General features: G+C 39.6%; 1 long non-coding RNA gene across 2 annotated transcripts, besides 1 other annotated feature; it reads right to left on the bottom strand.

Moving 5' to 3' along the window:
* Positions 1 to 637: 637 nt before the first annotated feature.
* LOC105375414 (uncharacterized) lies at positions 638 to 18,220 on the bottom strand. 2 transcript variants are annotated; one of them, XR_927783.2, is made up of 4 exons: positions 18,079 to 18,220; positions 15,525 to 15,645; positions 2,011 to 2,115; positions 638 to 841 (listed from the first exon to the last, which is right to left on the bottom strand). It is a non-coding gene; the product is annotated as an uncharacterized LOC105375414 (long non-coding RNA). The 2 variants fall into 2 exon arrangements; XR_007060443.1 differs by lacking the exons at positions 15,525 to 15,645; positions 18,079 to 18,220 and adding exons at positions 9,065 to 9,231; positions 10,026 to 10,154.
* Positions 4,093 to 4,387: a silencer, noted in NCBI's record as "tiled region #10792; K562 Repressive non-DNase unmatched - State 13:Ctcf". NCBI's record gives its function as "represses a minimal TATA promoter and a strong SV40 promoter by Sharpr-MPRA in K562 cells {active_cell/tissue: K562}" and the evidence as "EXISTENCE:reporter gene assay evidence [ECO:0000049][PMID:27701403]".
* Positions 18,221 to 19,303: the final 1,083 nt, after the last annotated feature.

Genomic DNA, 19,303 nt, shown 5'->3' with positions numbered 1-19,303 from the left:
AGTTTATTTCTGGAACATAGAAGGATGTGTTTCAAAAGACACTCAAAATAAAGAACACACCAAAATGTACCGAAAGTGGTTTGGTTTTCTGTTTTTTTAAAGCAAGGATGGAGCCATGCTTGAAACCTGTAAAACAGGATGCTGTACTCGAGTGTGTGTTGGGTGGAAATGGGTAAGGAAGGGTGAGCCTTGGCCTGTGATTGTCAGTATTCTAAAAAATGTACAGTTTTTAAACTTCACTGTTTGAAGCAGACTATCTTTCTTTGCCTGTAGAAATCTGTACGGTGGTCTTTCCATTTAATCTTCTTTAAGGATTATTTTACTTCACACAGAGAGGACTTCAATAAATAGATACATTGCCATCTAATCCCTGAGGTCTGTGTATTTCCTTCGGGTATAATTAATTTCGGTGGCTCACTAGACCTAAACAACCACCTTAGACAGTACTGGGGGGAAAAGCAAAATCCTGAATATATTTTTCTGCGCATTCTGGAGCCCACTGATTATTTTTTTTAGGTATGAGTTACATATTATAGGATGAGAATGTGTAATATTGAGTTACATTTAGGTAGAAGTCAACTGTCACTAACAGCCATTCTGAAACGTGAAATGACTTTCCAACTCAATGAAAATAATCATTTGATTATTCATTAATGTATTCCTCATTTCATTTTAAAAACATCTGAAGAGGCTTATAACGAAGATTACATAGAAAATCAGTCTGATGGTGTAAACCCAGAAATTGCAAATGGGATCTGCAGAAAGAGGTGGTAGCAAACGTGCTAATGTGGCAGGCTAGTGCGGATGTTCCAACTGAGCATCCATTTTGATTCTGAGCTTCCTGAAAGGCAGAATTAGAAGGGAAACATTCTTGAATTATTTCCATTAGAATTGAAGAAACACAAACAAATTCTTATTTGAACACAAGTTTTTCTGGCACTAAATTCTAAAGGAAAGAAATCTCTTCACATGTGCTTTTTTAAAGCATGTGATTTCTCTTTTGAAAATTATTTTTAGGCACACAAATGATTTATGAATACATTTAAACAACACAGAAGTATGTAGATTAAGAAGTTCAGGTTCTCCTTTACCCTTTCAACTTCACCCTCCCACCTGGAGTCTGGTGTGTGACATCTCTGAACTTTTTCTAAGACCCCCTTTATTTCCTAGCGCTTGCCCCATGTGTACCAAATACATCATATACAGTGATCATATAGATGGATTATTCTTCAGCTTACTTTTATTTATTTATCTATGCTTTGATGATCATCCATATCAATATAAATAGTGCTATTTTGTTTTGTAAAACTCCTATATGGATGTTCTAAGATTTACCAAAACATTCTCCTATGTTTGAGTTATTTGCAATTTTTCTTCCTTCGTTTGTTTTTTTGAGACAGGGTTTGGCTCTGTTGCCCAGGCTGGGGTGCAGTGGCATGAACATAGCTCACTGCAGCCTTGACCTCCTGGGCTCAAGCGATCCTCCCAACTCAGCCTCCCAAGTAGCTGAGGCTGGCTAACTTTTAAATTTTTTGTAGAAACCGGGGTCTTGCCATGTTTCCCAGAATGGTCTCAAACTCCTAGGCTCAAGTGATTCTCCCACCTTGGCCTCCCAAAGTGCTGGGATCACAGGTGTGAGCCACAGTACCCAGCCACAATTTTTGAATATTACAAATAATGCCATAATAAACACCATGTGCATGTGTTTAAAAATTTTTGTTTGGTGGATGTGATAGACACTTAGAAGTAGGAAAACAGGGTCAGAAGGTATATGCATAACAAAAATGACAAAGGAAGACTTTGTGATTAAGGGCAATGAGTTCTCAAAATCAGTAATTCTCGAATTTTTGGTATGGGTGTGTTCCTGTAGGTGTCATGCTCTTTGGAGAACCTTCTTACCTACTGCTGAAGATAATTCTATCATATGAACACTTTTCCTATCATACCAGATGACATTTGACGTAGGCAATAAGATAAAGAATCATAATTTCACATCTCAAAGAAGCCAACCTGGCCCACCAGGATCAGCTGCTCCTAAGGATTTTTGTTTTCAATATCTTGTGACTCGTTCATTTTGTTCTTGACTATCAGCATTTATGAGCAGATAAATAACACCTGTAAATAAATAAGAAAATACTTGAAAAAAATACTTGAGTATTTTTTTCATTCAGAGCGAAAAAGATATCTGTCGCTGGATTTTAGAAGTAGAAAAATCTAAGTTTGGCACGTTGCAAAGGGAATCATTTGAGAAAGAGTGCTCTAGATTAAGTCAATTACAAAATAAGAAATGAGTTGTTATATATAATACCACCACTGAAAGACCCATGTTAAATTTTTAGCCAATGTCCCTTCAAAAAGATATGATATTCAAAAGGACTTTATAACAAATTTTAGGTGAATTCCAGACTGACATATCTTTAAGATTTTATTAATTATTTACATAGTTCTGAAATTTACATCCTGCTTCCAAATGAGTTCATTTGAATATACACAAGCAAGTTTTGCTTCTGTTTGAATAAACTCATGTCTTTGGCTGATATTTCTGACATTTTTTTTATATTGTCTGAGAAGTAGAATGACTCCTTCCAGACAGGGATCTAAACAATTCTAAAGAAATACTGAGGAAACAGAGAGCAGCAGAAGCAAACTATAGTGTGTTTAACAATTCTGAGGTTGTTCCTGGTACAACTTGCGCATAAAGGAAACAGAACTTCAGTCTTAAGGTAAACATTGGCATCTATCAAATGCACACATCTTATCCTCTCTGAATTTGATACCTTCTGAAAGGGAAGATTCAATGTGATTTGTAATGTGCAGAAGGCTTTGAGATTAAAGGCGTTCAACAATTCCACTTATCTAGTTCCCCTCTTTCAGCCCCCTTTTACCAGCTTCCAAGATTAACCTCATTCCTTAATTATTGTGGTCATACTTTGAATAAAAGAGGAGAAAATGCAATGGCAGCCAATCACTTCAGAATTATAGACTTTACAAAAGAGACAAAGGATGGGTATCCCCAGCAAGCATGTTTATTTACAATACCCATAACTATAGAATACCTCCAAAAATATGCCCTTGGTCTTTTTGTTTTCTAAGCAGGCATGTAGTTGATTAGATGCTTTTAAGGATTTTAAATGTTAATACATATGAACATGTCTGTCATCCTTTATCCTATTTATATTTCCACATGATATTTGCAGAGATTTTGACTTGGGGGATTTGAGGTGGGGAAATTCTGATGCAGGGTCATTGACTTAGATAGTACCTTCATTCTCAGATCTCTGATTTCTTATAGAAATCATTCTCCTCATCTGGCCAGTCTTTGAAGACCAGAATCCAGTGATGATCACCAAGAATGAAAAAGAGAGAATTGTGTCGCTAACTCGCTCTCTTCCCAGTTTTCCTTGGATTTGCACTCTCACTTAGTAATTTGAACCCTATGGCATGGCATTGCATTCCTGAAAACTGACTTTTATGTCTGCATGCTTTTACTAATATTACTTATTTCTGGGCACAATGGTGCATGCTTGTAGTTCAAGCTACTCGGGAGGCTGAAGGAGAATGATTGCTTGAGCCCAGGAGTTCAAGGCTAGCCTGGGCAACGTTGCAAGAACCTGTCTCTTAAAAAAATTGCCTATGATTACCCCCTTCCCCCAGCTCATACTGATCCATCTATATAGGCAAAAGCTGGTCTGGGCTTTATTCTGGATTTGTTTTGAATTCTAGATCATGTTTTCCACCACAACCATAGCACCAAGATTGATAGGGATCCTAGCATATCTCTTACATCTCCTTATGAAACCGACTCTATGACCATTTAGCAAATTCCAAAGTTTCCTCATTTATATAGTGGAGTTACTACTGACACTCCTCAGAGATGTGTTGTGAGGATTAAATGAGGTAATATACACAAAGAACTTAGCATAATTCTGTAAACAAGGGTCAATATCCCATAGTTATCTGAGAGGAAAAAAAGCCAGATACAAAACAACTCCTGAAGTTCATTGAGGCAGACTTTCAATGAAAGCTCATTTGCTCTTCTCTCTCCCCTCCTTGGGTTTTAATTCTTCTTACGTAATATAAAAGTAGGAAAATGAGGTTACAAAAAGACTAACAGTTCTCAACACTATCACCATCTAATGCTCCCCAGTTTGTAAGATGAATGATGTACATTAAGCATCTACACCAAACAACCTCTGGGAGGCACACAAACTAGCTGGAATCCAGTGTGAGAGTGAAAAAGCAAAGCTACCTTTGGACACGGTACAGTTATTGTGGTTAGAATGACATTAGGAATGATGCAATAGGCTGGCCTCCCTCCATCAATTTATAAAGGATCCCTTTGATGTTATCTTAATTTACTTTCAGGACCTGGCCTAATACATTGTACATATTCACATGGTTTTTTGCTAGCCTCCGGCAGAACAAGCAGTACAAGACAGGCTGGAGAAGTATTTACCCAACCAGTTAAAAGTCCAGTTTCTAAGACACAGCATCAGCCTGCTGGGCATCCAATTAGATCCCAAAAGATCTCTACCCTCCAATGACTTAAGGCCTAAAGTGGTGCAGCACATTCTGGACTCATTGATTAACTCAAACAGTTTTTGTCCTACTTCTCCATTATGACGGCATTCCTCAGCATCAGAATTACAACTTTTTTTGGTAGTCCAAGGCTGGCAACATCCGAAGACCTTTAAATAACCTGTTTGCCTCTGGCTCATTCCTTCTCCACCTTATTCTTGGTAAATGTTGATAGTTCTAACATTATAGCATGGGCAGTCTTACCACTTAATCTAACCCAGTTTAAATCTTGTAAGTTCTTTTTTAATCATACATTCTTGAATAATAGAAAAATGACCAGGAAAAAGGCATTTTTGGCAACTGAGATCATATTAGAAGCTGATATGAACCATTCCATGTTTACGTCCACCAAATAGCTTAATAGTCTGTCTAGTGGGTGTTGAATATGCTGCTCCTCAACCTTGCGTAATTGTACTTTTAGATCCTGTACCTCTCAAGCTTCTGCAATCAATAATTTTGTGTCTTTCGTAAGTTCTACTATCTAGGACAATGTGAGTAGCACAGATGAGGCAGAGAATGGAGAAAAGATTCCAAGGGCTTCTTGGATCAGGAATAGGTCTGTAAGATGCTGTAAGATCAGGGGACAACTTCATTCTATAATCTATCCAAAGGCAGTGTTTAAAGGACTGAACTATTTACTCAGCACATTCATTTGACAAATAGTTCTGGAGAGTTTATAATATACAGGATACCATATTAAAAACTGAAGATGAATGAGCAAAACCTGACCTAAGTCCTCATCTTGATATATCATAGAGTCAGGAACACATATATTAATCAAATACAACTTACACTTGTAAATGCAGAATTGTGGTAAGGGCTTCAAAGTAAAGGTATATGGGACAATGAGAATTCAGATCTTCTTCAATTTCTATCAGACATCTAGTGACAACAGACCACCATCATCACAGACTTTTTATTATCAAAATGGCTTCTTTTCAGTTACCCCGAACTAGCTAATTCAATGATACTTCTCTTTTGGGTGTTTAAACAGGTTTTTGTTTGTTTGTTGCTTTTTTTTTTTTTTTTTTTTTTTTTGAGGTATGGTCTCATTCTGTTGCCCAGGCTGGAGTGCAGTGGTACAATCACAGCTTACTGTAGCCTCGACCTCCTTGGCTCAAGCAATCCTCCCACCTCAGCCTCCTGAGTAGCTGGACCACAGGTGCACACCACCACACATGGCTAGTTTTTTAATGTTTTAAATTTATTATTATTATTATTTTGAGACGGAGTTTCACTCTTGTTACCCAGGCTGCAGTCCAATGGTGGAATCTTGGCTCACTGCAACCTCTGCCTCCTGGGTTCAAGCGATTCTCCTGTCTCAGCCTCCTGAGTAGCTGGGATTACAGGCGCCGGCCACCACACCCAGCTAATTTTTGTATTTGTAGTAGAAGTGGAGTTTCACCATGTTGGCCGGGCTGATCTTGAACTCCTGACCTCAGGTGATCCACCTGCCTCAGCCTCCCAAAGTGCTGGGATTACAGGTGTGAGCCACAGCGCCTGGTCTAGTTTTTTAATTTTTTTGTAGAGATGAGGTCTCACTCTGTTGCCCAGGCTGGTCTTAAACTCCTGGACTCAAGCTATTCTCCAACCTCAGGCCCTTAAGGTGCTGAGATCACAGGTGTGAGTCACCGTGCATGGACTAAACAGGTTTTAATGCATTCACTAAATAGTTTATTTCGCACCATGCTATGCGTGATCTCAGGTAACCATAATTACTTGAATATTTATAAGAACATCTTCTATTTTTACGAAGGTGTGTATTCCTTGGTATGATAGGGTTGTGCAATAAAATATTCTGGTAGAATGAGGAGAGTCCCAACTTATAGACCCATTTTGAAAAACTAAAACAAAACTGCATTAATCTGTTCCTGCATTGCTATAAAGAAATGTCTGAGACTGGGAGATTTATTAAAAAAAGAGGTTTAATTGGCTCATGGTTCCACAGGCTGTACAGGAAGCATGGCTGAGGAGGCCTCGGGAAACTTTCAATCATGGCAGAAGGCGAAGGGGAAGCAGGCATGTCTTATATGACTGGAGCAGGAGGAAAGTGGAGAGGTGTGACACACTTTTAAACAACCAGATCTCGTGAGAACTCACTCAATATCATGAGAACAGCACCCAGGCGGATGGTGTTAAACCATTAGAAACTGCCCCCAGGATCAATCACCTCTCACCAGGCCCCACCTCCAACACTGAGGATTACAATTGAACATGAGATTTGGGTAAAAATATAGATCTAAACCATATCCAAACCCAACTGATTTCTGCCAGAGCAAGTAGATAAACCAAATATCTTCCGCCCCAATGCCCACTAGTGTTACCTCTTGACAACAGAATAACTATTATTACTTTCTTCCTTAGGTTAATTTGATAAACCAATATCATCTCTCCCTCCAAGAAAAATATTCTCTCCCTAAATGCTTCCCTACCCCTACACTTCTCCACCTCTTATTGCCCTTTTAGGAAACCAAGTTCATGGATTGAATTTCAGTTATTCTTCCAGATGACAAATACATTTATTTATTTCCTTGTTTTCCCATTAATTCATTCAACACCTGAAGGCTTATTATACATTTGATATTTTGCCAGTGGCTAAGTTCTAAGTAAGACTTAGAACTTCTCTCAAGGATTTCATCATCTCGGTGACACAAACCCTTACAAAATTTTATCAAGCAGCAGGGTGGACCTTAATAAAAATGTGTATAAAGCATAGAGGTGATAGAATAGCAGCAGTAAGTGGTAGTAGGTGTTAGGAAGATTTCTTGGTGAGGGAGAAGGAATGTAAATACTCCAGGAAGCCAAAGGGTACATTTAGGGAGGGACTTACTAGGCAAAGGCACACCAGCATCTGCAAAGACTTAGGCCTGAAATAGCACAGTGAACTACGGATGAAGAATTAAGTCCAAGGAACAAGTGCACCAGAAGACACTGGAGAGAAGGAAGCAAGGGCCAAATTATGGGGAGTTCTATTTGTCATGTGACCAGCCCAGAAGTTACTGTGTAGGCAAAGGGGAAACCATGGAAGGGCTTTAAGCAGGAGAGTAAAACATCGACACTTGTATATTTAAAGGATCATTTTGGTGGCAACTGGAGAATGAATTGGGAGTGAGGAAGGCTACAAACAAGGTCCAGTTACCCTGCTGTCAGAATCCCAGGCAGGAAACGGTAAGCCTGAACTAAGGCAGCGGCCAAAGGAATGCAGAAAGAAGGTACATTTCAGCCGGGCACGGTGGCTTATGCCTGTAATCCCAGCACTTTGGGAGGCCAAGGCGGGTGGATCACGAGGTCAGGAGATCGAGACCATCCTTGCCAACATAGTGAAACCTCGTCTCTACTAAAAATACAAAAATTAGCTGGGCATGGTGGCGCGTGTCTGTAGTTCCAGCTACTAGGGAGGCTGAGGAAGGAGAATCGCTTGAACCCAGGAGGCAGAGGTTGCAGTGAGCCGAGACTGCGTCGTTGCACTCCAGCCTGGGTGATAGAGTGAGACCCTGCCTCAAAAATAAAAAAATAAAAAAAATAAAGAAGGTACATTTGAGAAAAGTTTACAGAATCAAGAAAACTTGGCAACTGATTGGATGTGGGAGATGAGGAAGAAAGAGAAAATTAGGTCTACCCTTGTGTTTGGGAGAAAGGTGGATGTTAGTTTTAAAACACAAAAGGTACCTCTGAGAGAACCTTGACAATCAGAAACCAGGTGTAATTTTCTATCTAATAACTTAATAACTTTCCTTCTACATGATCTTACAGCTGGGTGGACCCACGATAGACTCCTTATCGCCCAGACCAGCACCTAGTTCAAGCTTTCAACTTGACTGCATACTGGCAGCTTTAAAAAAATACTAATACCTGCATCTGTACCCAATTTATGCAGGTGCAATCTAGACATTGGTGTTCATTAAGGTCTCAGTGACTGTAAAATGCCATCACTGCTCCAGAGGTTTCCCTAGATTTAAAACACCTACTACTTACTTAAATGCTTACTCTTCTAATTGGCCAAACACCATACCCTTCTCTTACTCTAGTAAGCTATAAAAGAATTTGAAGTGCAGGTATTTGTGGGCCCTTGGCTCTGAAGGAGAAAAATTTTGGCCCTTAGAACCCAGAAAAGATGTGTTCCAGAAGGCCAGGCCTGAACTCTCTGGTCATGCTAGACTCTCTGAGGACCAGCGCTCTCACCAAACCTGGCTCCACTAGGGGATGCGTGGCCTGGTGGGATCGAGGGTTGAGGCTTGAGGGGAGTGTCATGCCAGGGACATGGATTGAGGATACGGACTGTGAAAATCTGCTTCTCAGTTGACTCATAAACCTGGCAACCACACAGCTGAAAGTCCTTCAGACAGCAAGGCATGTTGGGTTCCTAGTGCTGCCATAACGAAGTACCCACAATCTGGTTGGTTTAAAACAGCAGAAATTTATTCCCTTACAGTTCTGTAGTCTAGAGGTTCAATATCATGGTTTTGGAAATGCCATGTGTCCTCACCAGGTTCTAGGGATGAATCTTTCTTTGCTCTTCTCAGCTTCTGGTGATTGCTGGCCGGGAGTGTTCTTTGAAGCCACATATTCCAGCCTCTGCCTCCATCTTCACGTGAACTTTATCCTTGGGTATATCAGTGTGTCCAAGTTTCACGCTTCTTCTTATAAGGATACCTTAAAAGCCCTAATCCATTATTACCTCATCTTAAGTTAATTACATCAGCAAATACCCTATTTCCAAATACAGTCACATTCAGAGGTACTGGGGTTTAGGACTTGAACGTATTCTAGGGAACAAAATTTACCCACAATACAAAAAGACTACTTGTGCTATCTGTTTTCTGGGAGAAATTCCTCCTGCTGCCTCTCACTGACATCTTGACTTTCCAGGTTTTGACCTCAGCTTGCTGATTACATAATTGTCTGTCCTGCCATCCCTCAAACCCCCACCAGCACCTCCGTATCTCAGATCAAAAGAGCCACAGATTTTTTTCAGAAGTAGAAATAATATTATAGAGGACATCTTCTGTGTATATGTATTTATAATAGATGCATTTTATGAATGGGGAGAGTTCTGGGACTCTTTTCCCCCAAGTCTGTCTACTCCAGAAACGAGTCTCTAACTTTATTCTTATTTTAACTTCTGACCTGAACATACCACAGATATCTCTGACTCAAATTCTGTCCCGGTTGACCACCTCTCTCTCCTTTTCTACTTTGTCTTCTCACTTTTCCTTCTGTTTGGTTGCTTTTCACCAATACACCAGCTTCACTTCTGAACCGGCAAAGCTTCTTAAACCCTAAGGTGGGAAGTCTTGGCCCACCTTAAACTCTGACTTAAACCCTATTTTTTCCATAATGAATGTAAGCAGCAAGTCACAAAGATAAAAATTAAACCATATCTCCTTTCCTATTTGGTGACCCTTTATGCTATCAGCTTACTTTTCTGCACAGATATAAAAACGTACCTCGAGGATGTAGATCCATCCCATAATTTGTATTGTCACTTTCCTTGAGTCCAGATAGGATCCCTCCAAACCAATCCCACTTCTTCCTTGATCTGAGGCCCTGTCCTCCAGTTGCTGTGTAGAATCTGGTTGGAGAACTTGGTACTGACTACATGAAAGGCAGCCTTCTATTTTTATATTTGTTCTTTTGCATTAGAAATCCTAAGGGATTGTTTGTTCATGTCTCACTGGGCCCATAACTGAAACCCTACTGGGAGATTTCCCCATGTTTACTGACCATTAGATTCACTGCTGTCTATTTCTGGCCCTGAGGTAATTTTTTTCTGTGAACTTGAACAAATAACCTCTATTTTCCTTTCCTTATAAAATGATATACTTATTGCCTATGCATGTTTTTGGGCTTAACAAGGTTGTTACCAAATGATTACATATGAAGCTGAATCATAAAACATTTTATGCTTATTTTTATTGGCTGTACTACAGTACACTTCAATTCAGAAGCCATTTATTTATTTATTGCTCACCGACAATGTACCTAGCATGGTGCTACATGTTATTGGTAGTCTATGACTTGTTAGGAAAATAGTAACGTTCAGTACGTACCTGACTGATCAACATGTAAGATATGGCCCCTGGTTTCAAGTAATCAACAACTTCTATGGTCAGTAGTACTTTGTATTTTGAGGAAAAAGTAATTAGTTAAATAAAATGTTATCAGACAAGTGTAGGCATTCGCAATGGTAAGAGCTAAGAAAAGGAGAAGGGACTTAATATGTATTCAATATTTTACCTACATTATTCAACTTTGTCCTCACCACAAGCTTGTAAGGTATCATCCCCATTGCCAGAAAAAGAAACTGAGGCTCAGAGTGGTTTGGTGACTTGCCCAAGTTTACACCTAGTAAGTGGGGAATGAAAGTTTAATGGCAAATGCATTTAATGTACGTCAGTTTAACTATAAAGTTGGTGCTTTCATTGCTACACTAGTTTGCTAAGGCCAGATGCCAAACCCTAGGGCATGATTCCTTTGTTCAGTTCTCTTTATTGCTGTTGAATTAGAAGTCTTCAGATTCTTCTGCCAAAACATGACCTGTCTCTGGGAGGAAGAGCTTAGCGTGCCTACAGTGTGATGATCCACCTTCTTAGCTGTCCAGTGAAATCTTCTTTTCTCATTTTACAGACTGCCTTTTGCCTGTGTTATCCACTCCAGTCATTATCTCTATGCTGCTTCTTCCCATGGCTCCCTTCTTGACATTTCTACCTGGAGAGGTTTCAAAGCTAACAAATCCCAAATCAAACTCATTATCTTCTCACCTTTCCTCCTTTCACTCTAAGGTTGGGGAAACCTTGCTTCTTCTCCATCTTCCATATTACTGTCTAGGTCAGTGTCATCATCAGCCAAAGTTGTTCAAGATAGGAACCTCTTCTAGTCCCACAGTCATCAAGTCCCATAGAGTCTTCCTGGATACCTCCCACTCCTGCCCCTTCCACATCACTGCTGTCATCACATTCCAGGCTCTCATGACCTGTCACTGGGAAAATTATAAGAGCATGGGTCTCCCTAGCTGTGTTCTCATTCATTCTCCCCTCTTACTTTACCCCCTCACATCCCTGACACACACACACACACACGTGCGCATGTGTGCACGCGCATGCACGTTTGGATGGGAGAACACAGCCTGAGTCAACTCCAATCGGTTTCATCAGCCATTCCCTCTACCCTGACAGCTCTAGACTCCAGTGAAGTCTCTCACTCTTTCTACAAACTGTCTTTGTAGCCTCCAATAAATATTCCTGTTTTTCCCCCAACTAAACTACATATCCTCAGAAAATGAACTTGAGTGTAACTACCAGGTGAAGTCTTCTTGACTCCTCTTGACTCTTTGAGACAGAGTTAGTTCCATCTTCCTCTGTTTTCTCTCCCACCTCATACACCTCATGCCCCTATTAACACTTTTAACATATTATGGCCATTTTTATTGTACTTATGATGCCCCTATAATCTGAGTGCTTCTTAACAGGAGGGCCATTTCATTTGCATCCTCTTTATCGTGAAGTATTTTAGCTATTCATAAAAGTATAGCGAATAATATAATGAACACCAATGGATCCACCTTCTGGTTTTGTCATATAAAAAGATGTTTTTTAATAACAGAATACTACAGTTGGATTGAAGACCTCTGTGTACCTTTTCCCATTCCATTCCCTCTCTTGCCAGAAGTATCCACTACCCTGGATGTGCTGTCACTTCACCCATGTGTGTTTTGACATTTATTACATACAGATGTATCCATAAACAATAATGCAGGGTTTTTTTTAGAAGTTTTTAAAAGTGATAATGATATCATCCTGTGTGTATCCTCCTGCAATTGAAGTTTTCTTTTTGTTCACTATTGTGTTTTTGGAATTTAGCCACATAGGTAGATGTGGCACTCATTCATTAATTTTAACTACTGCATAATATTTTTTATGAGCATAAGCCCAATTTATCTCTTCTTTCATAGGTTGATAAGCCTTTTCTGATTTTGCATGTCCATGCTTCCTTGAGCAGCTATGAGGGTTTCTCTAGGGTATACAAGCTGTGAGTGAAAGGTATGTCTTTCACCTCAAGACATACCGTCACCTTGTTTCTTGCAGGGCTTATACTTATTGATACTCCTACCAGCAGTGTAGAGCATTCCCGTTGCTCACTATTACCCCAATTGCTTAGCAAGAGTCTAGCACACAAGAGATGCATTATACCTCCTAACGGTAACTGAAGGAATGAGTGAACAGTGCTTGAATTTATAAAAAGTGAGCCAAAAGAAGCAGAAATACAAGTACTTTTACTGAAATCACCAACAATAGGAAGTCTAGACCCGTGCTATTTAAATGTAAGTTAGTTAAATCAAATTAAGTTAAAGATTCAGTTCCTTAGCTCATGAGCCACATTTCATATGCTCAGTAGCCACTTGTGGTTAGTGGCTCCTGGCTGCCATACTGCACAGCACAGATGTAGACCATCTCCACCATGGCAGAAAGTCTCAGTGGACTATGCTGGTCTAGACCTTTCTCACTTCCTCCCTTTGCCCTCTTCCCACCTACCTTAAGCACTTAATATTTTCCCAGTGCCTTCTAGATGCCTAGAATTCCCACCAAGTGTGCTTTCCTCGGCTGGAATTCATAATTCATGGCTCCTCATCTGATTTTCTTTAAAAAATGGTAGTAAAACATGCATAACATAAAACTTAACATTTTAACCATTTTAAGTGCATAGCTCAGTGGCATTAAGTAAAATCACCTTGTGCAACCATTATCGCCATTCATCTCTAGAACATTTTCCTCTTCCAAACTGAAACTCTGTTCCAATTAAACACTAATTCTCCATGCTGCCATCCTCCAACCCCTGACAACTACCATCCAACTTCCTGTCCCTATGAATGTGATTCCTGTGGGTACCTCATATCAGTGGAATCATACAATATTGTCCTTTTGTATCTGGCTTAGCATAATGTCATCAAGGTTCATTCGTGTTGTACCATGCATCAGAATTTCATTCTTTTTAAGGCTGAATAGTATTCCATTGTATGTGTACACCACTCCTCATCGGATTTTATATTTTCTTTTCCACTCAGGTACCAGCTGGGTGACTGCCCAGCCAAATGAATGCAATCCATAGCATTGACAAAGGGTACAGGCTTAACTCAATGGCCCCCAGATAATAACATTACAGTGTGGAGTGCTGGGCAGAACGATGGGACAGGAATGAGGATTTCTGGGTTCTGGTTCCCAGACTGCTGGGCTACAGCGGGTGGCTTTCCAAAGTTACCTTAACTTTCAAGCATCAGTTTCCTTATCTAATCAAAAAAATAAAAAAATAAAAAATAAAAAAAGGCCTTTCTGTTATTCTAAAATTCTGTGGTTTTTGGAGGACTCTTCAGTGCATTGACTCAAAATCAATAAGGAAAGTGGATATGAAGGCATTATAGCAAAATGAGTAAGGGAAATATTTTAGGAAAGAGTGCTGTCTAAAACTTTCCAATTCTATACACACACAAAAAGGAGGCAGCTTACACTATGTGTAAGGCCATATGCATTAGACATTTCTATACCTAATGTCTCCCTGTCTAGAGTCAAGGGCAGGGTCTTGGAAAATTCTTACCTATTTTACTTAACTTTCAACTTTCTGTTAGGCCTCTGGGATATTCTAAATCTTCTTTGATTTTGTTTGTTTTGTTTTTCCAACTTAGTTTCATAGAATATTTCAAAATAGGAACTAAATTCAACATTTTTTATATTGATTATTGATTTTCTTCTATATTATTATTATTCTCTAGTTTATTTCCTTTTACATTTTGCATTTATAAATGATTCTCTAATTTTTACCCTGTTGAAATGCATTGGTTTCCAAGTACAATTAAGAACTGCCCCAGAAGATAAATAGTAGAGATGTGGACAAAAAAGGCAGAGATTGATTATACTCCTCCTGCTGTAATCTGGCTGGGGAATGACATGGAAAGGAGGGAAAGAACTTTGATGGCCTCATATTCCCACTTTTCCTAGATTTCGTCCCCGGTCTTTATATATACCTGTATTACCATTGTATTTCTGACTACTCCTTACATGGATTCTAGGCAAAATAAACCAACATATATATTTTGTATTATGGCCACATTTTATGTATGTGCTTTGAGGATTTAGCCAGGTGCATGCATATGGCCCTAATTCATTAATTTTAACTGCTGCATGGTGTTATGTTATGAACATAGTGCAATTTATTTATGTGTTCTTCTTTGATGGTTAGGCTGTTTTCAATTTGTCATTGTATATTTCTCCATGAACACATACGAGGGTGCTCTCAAAACCTTATGCTTGACCCAGGTTTAGGAAATTTGCTTGCCGTGTTTTTTGGGACAAAATTTCTATGAACTCCAAAGAGTTCCTTCATTCAACAGATAAAAACCGAGTATCTATAGTGTACAGAGATAAGGAAAAGCAAAGATAAAATCCCCATTCTCAAGAAAGGACCATTGGAATGGGATAATAATCAAATAATAGAATAAAGAAATATAACATTGCAAGAGTAATGAATAATTTGAAGGAAAGGTCCATCATCTGTAAGAGCATAGAACAGGGAGAACCTGCTTGACTCAGGGTATCAGTGTTGGTTTTCCCATAGTCATACTTGGTCTGAAAGGGGAAAGAGGAATGAGTAAGACTTGGCCTAATAAGAAATATGAGGTCTGGGCTGGGCTGGGCTGAAAGCCTCAGAAGCAGAGGGAACAGCAAGCAGACAGGCCTTGAGCTGGAGGAGGAAGTAGATGATTTAGAGAGAAGGCCCATGTGGCTGGAACAAAGAGTGATGGAAAGGAACATGTGAGAAAAACTTGAGAACTAGAACTAGATGGGTTAGAGAATGCAGGACATTTGACTTACACCCTAAAATGAGGGAATGCTATGAGCTGATTTTAAGCTAGGAAGATATACTAGCAGATTTGGGTTTCAAAACAACAAACTCACTGTCTCCTGTATGGTGAAGCCTTTGTGGGGATCTTGGTTCCAGTTTATGCTGAATCTGTGTGGCTGGAGATAAACCTCTTGTAGTCACTGGCAGGACTCACCCATTCCCTTGAAGAAAGATCTGAAATGAGGGAACGCTTTTAAGTAGGAGGATCATCTTTTATGACAGGATGCACAGCAGAGAGAGAAGAGGGTTGATATCATCCATAAAGTGGTGAGAATCTTTAGCAAAAGAGAGGTCAAAGTAAGGAAGAGTCTATTCACAGAAGAGAAAAAGGGTGGGGAGAGAGGAAGTAGAAGCTGAGAGCCCAACTCCACGAGAAGCCTCTTAGTCATGCTGGTGGGTATAGAGATCAGACTATCAGGATAAACCAGGCAAAACACAGGGATAAGGCAGTAGCGGAGACTTCAGTTAAAATCTGGAGGGAAAACATAGTTCTCTAGGCTGTCCAAAGTGGACCAAATAGCCCACAAATTGCACAACACAGCAACTAAAATCCTATAGTCTCTGGGAGGCCTGAGTGTCCCTACACTCAGCCCATAATTAATCCTCCTCCTTCTTAGAAAATCAAAGTCATGACCTGTGACTTGTGGTACCAACATTGTCATGGCTCCTGCTGAGTAACTCGTGGGCACCACTCCATGCTCCCCAGGCTCCAGCCCCTGTCTCAGCTCGAAAAACATACTTGACAACACTATCATGACTCTTGAAGAGCCAACTTTTACTTCCCCTATTATTTAACAATATGTTTTCCCTTCTCATGCTTTGAGTAGATGTTTAGTTTCTAAGACAAGGGGCAAAAAAGAATTCTGAGTTTCGTTTTGCAGTGGGGAAATGCTTTACAACCAAGGGTGAGGGAAGAACTTTTCTGGAAAACAATGATTTTTATTTGGCTGTTTCAAAAAGTGTGTATTATCATAAGAAAGACTTAGATGCTAACAAAAATACAGTCTCAGAGAAGAGCCTGATTGAAGCATAATTGATTATGTTGGACAATTACAAATGCCCTTATTAAATAATTGCATTTAAACCACATGATAGTTTTATAACTGATTTATAAAAACAAAACTGTAAAAGTTTAAGTGACATAATTGTTCTCAGTATCACTACAATTTTCAAATGAAGCAATTTAGACTTAGAAGCAATTTTACTTTTCATTGTGATGTTATTTTGGTGTCAGACTGCAAGCTTTTGTTCCACTCCAGAGTTCTAGGAATGATGATTAACCCTTCTCTCTCCTTGGCTGAGACAATGATACATTTTTCTAATGTACTAGTCCTTCACATTTTGCTGCAGACTCAGCAGGTTCTGCAAAGAATGGTTTTCAGGCCTCCACTTATTTATATGGTTTCTATTTAATTAGAATGAAGTAGTTTCTGCAGGCGTGTGGGTAATGTAAATCTTTCTTAGATTAGGTATATATGTGAACTCACAATAAAAATGGCACATAAAAATGGTACAAACAATATCCTCTTGTGTTTGAGGGTATTGATAAATAATGTTAAGTCTTTGCACAGTTTTCTTTCAAAATTGAGTCCACCCTGGAAACAATGTGGCAAATGGCCTGGTATCTCAGGCACATCTCCATAGAATGTTAATCAAAGGTCTATATTTTCAGGTATATGAATAAAAGATCTTCGAACATTCAGTGGATAAAAGCCAAAGCCATTAACATTCCTATATTTAGTTTCTGTGAATTAAATGGTTTTATGCAACTACTGTCTCTATATCACACACGAAACTCGCAAGGCATGTTTTACACTGGTAATAAGAGCTTAACCTGCTGTATTTCATTTCAGTCTTGCTGATAGCATTTATCAGCAAAATCTGGCTAAAAACACAATATGCAACTTAAACCTGATCATAACTAGGCTGCAGAGGAGGAAAGTGGGGGATTATCTGGAGACTGGGAGCACAAATATAAGATTGTATTGTCATTGTGTGCTATAGGCCTTTTGGCAAACTGTAGTGTAAGCCCCAGCTGACAGGCCTTTTCACAACTGACAGAGGAAAATATGAAACTTAAATTCTTCATGACAGATAAATCTGCCGAATGAAAGGAAGACCAATAGGATAACAGTGGGACAAAAAAATATTGCTTCTGGGTAACTCCCTTAAATCTACCTCTTTTGTAAATATACAAAATAGGCATTCAACGAATATCTTCTAAACTCCTACCTATCAACTTTGCTAAGCAAGCTGTTAAATTGGAATGATAAAATAAGCATCTTTTCTTCAGCAGATGAATACAAAGTCTTATAAAACAGGGGTGGCAGATTAAATTTAATATGTGGGTATGAAAGACGTTTCCTGGATGACTATCAACTGGAGTGGATTTCTTGAACCAAGTTGACATGTTAATATTGTAGAGGGCTTATTAATTGAGATATTAAATGTACCTAATCCATCATGATTGGGTTCTTTGTCAAATTAAAAAAAAGTATGACTGTAAGTAATTGCTCTTTTCTGTCAGTGGGCCTTGAGTCCCTGAAATGTAACCAGAGACTATTTCTTAGGATTAGTATCATTGGCCTTTCCACTGCCAATACATACCTTTTACCCTTGTCAAAGGCACTAGGGCCTCCAGGGGTCTAGGGTTCTTTGCTTCTCCCCTGCTGGTTTGGCATTGGCATTCTTTTCATCCTGGGAACATTTCATTCTGGTTGGCTCTACCAATTGTATCCAATTCCAGTGGCAGCCTATGGAAAACTACCTCAAACTATGAGAGGCCAGATTGAACTGAAAAAGTAGTTTCTTGTTGTCTAATGTTTTTTTAAAAAACTCTTCTAACTATTTACTATTAACCTCCCTGCTCTTCTGGCATCTCCTGGAGCAGCATACTTCTGCGGGGAAAGGAGAGATTCGTATGGGCTCCTTAAACAGGCTGCCTCTTTTATTTGTGAACGGCTGGACTGCCTTGGCAAGCCCCAGGTCAAGTTGATAGACTCTGTCTTGTTGATAAAGCAAATTTCAGGACCCAAGAGCAGATCTGCCTTGAACTGTCACGTTCCCTGGTTGCCATGGCAATTCCTGGCTAATCTCCAGCACAAAAATCAAAATGAGAAAGAGAAAGAGAGAGAGAGAGAGAAAGAGAATGAATGGGAGGAAGGAAAGATGAAACAGATAAGAGTTCTTGGGGTCGTTTTTTTTGTTTTGTTTTGTTTTCTGAGACTTCATGTTCCCACCAGTGTGGGTTCTTTCCCCAGCCAGCCAGTCCCAGAATGTTTGGCGGCAGGACAAGGCCAGAGTCTCAGGCCATGGGAATCTCTGACCAAGTTGCAGGGAGGAAGAAGAAAGGCAGTTAGAGAGTTAGAGACTATGAAAAGGAGGTGGAGGAGGAGGGGAGCCAGCCTGGAGTCTGAGAGAAGAATCCAGGCGCCACGGTGTAACAGCTGCCTCAGGTATGCTAGCCAGTTTCAGCTCGTTCCCAGCTCTTTCTGGCAAGCCCCAGGCTCAGGCCTGTGTGTGCGCGCGCACACACACACACATGCACATACACATACGTGTGCCCGTACATGCACGATTGAGTTGTATCTGTTGGGAAGAAGTTGCTAGGCTGTCCGCAACAGTGTCTTTCAGATATTTGCTGAAGAGCTGGGCTTGCTGGGCACCACTTTTCATAATTGTGGTGAAATTGCCTAAGACCTTGGTAAATAACAAAATCTACTCAAATACAAAGGGATTTAACTTACTCTAAAGATTATTTTGTTTTGTCTGCTGGATTAAAATTGCTTCTAAAGTTATTAGAGAAACTTAACATTAGCACTTGCCTTTCTAT

The sequence above is a fragment of the Homo sapiens genome, chromosome 7 (assembly GCF_000001405.40).
Source record: "Homo sapiens chromosome 7, GRCh38.p14 Primary Assembly".
Lineage (NCBI taxonomy): Eukaryota > Metazoa > Chordata > Mammalia > Primates > Hominidae > Homo > Homo sapiens.
Note: the sequence above shows the minus strand (reverse complement) of the source record. Positions and strands in the feature narration are given on the sequence as shown.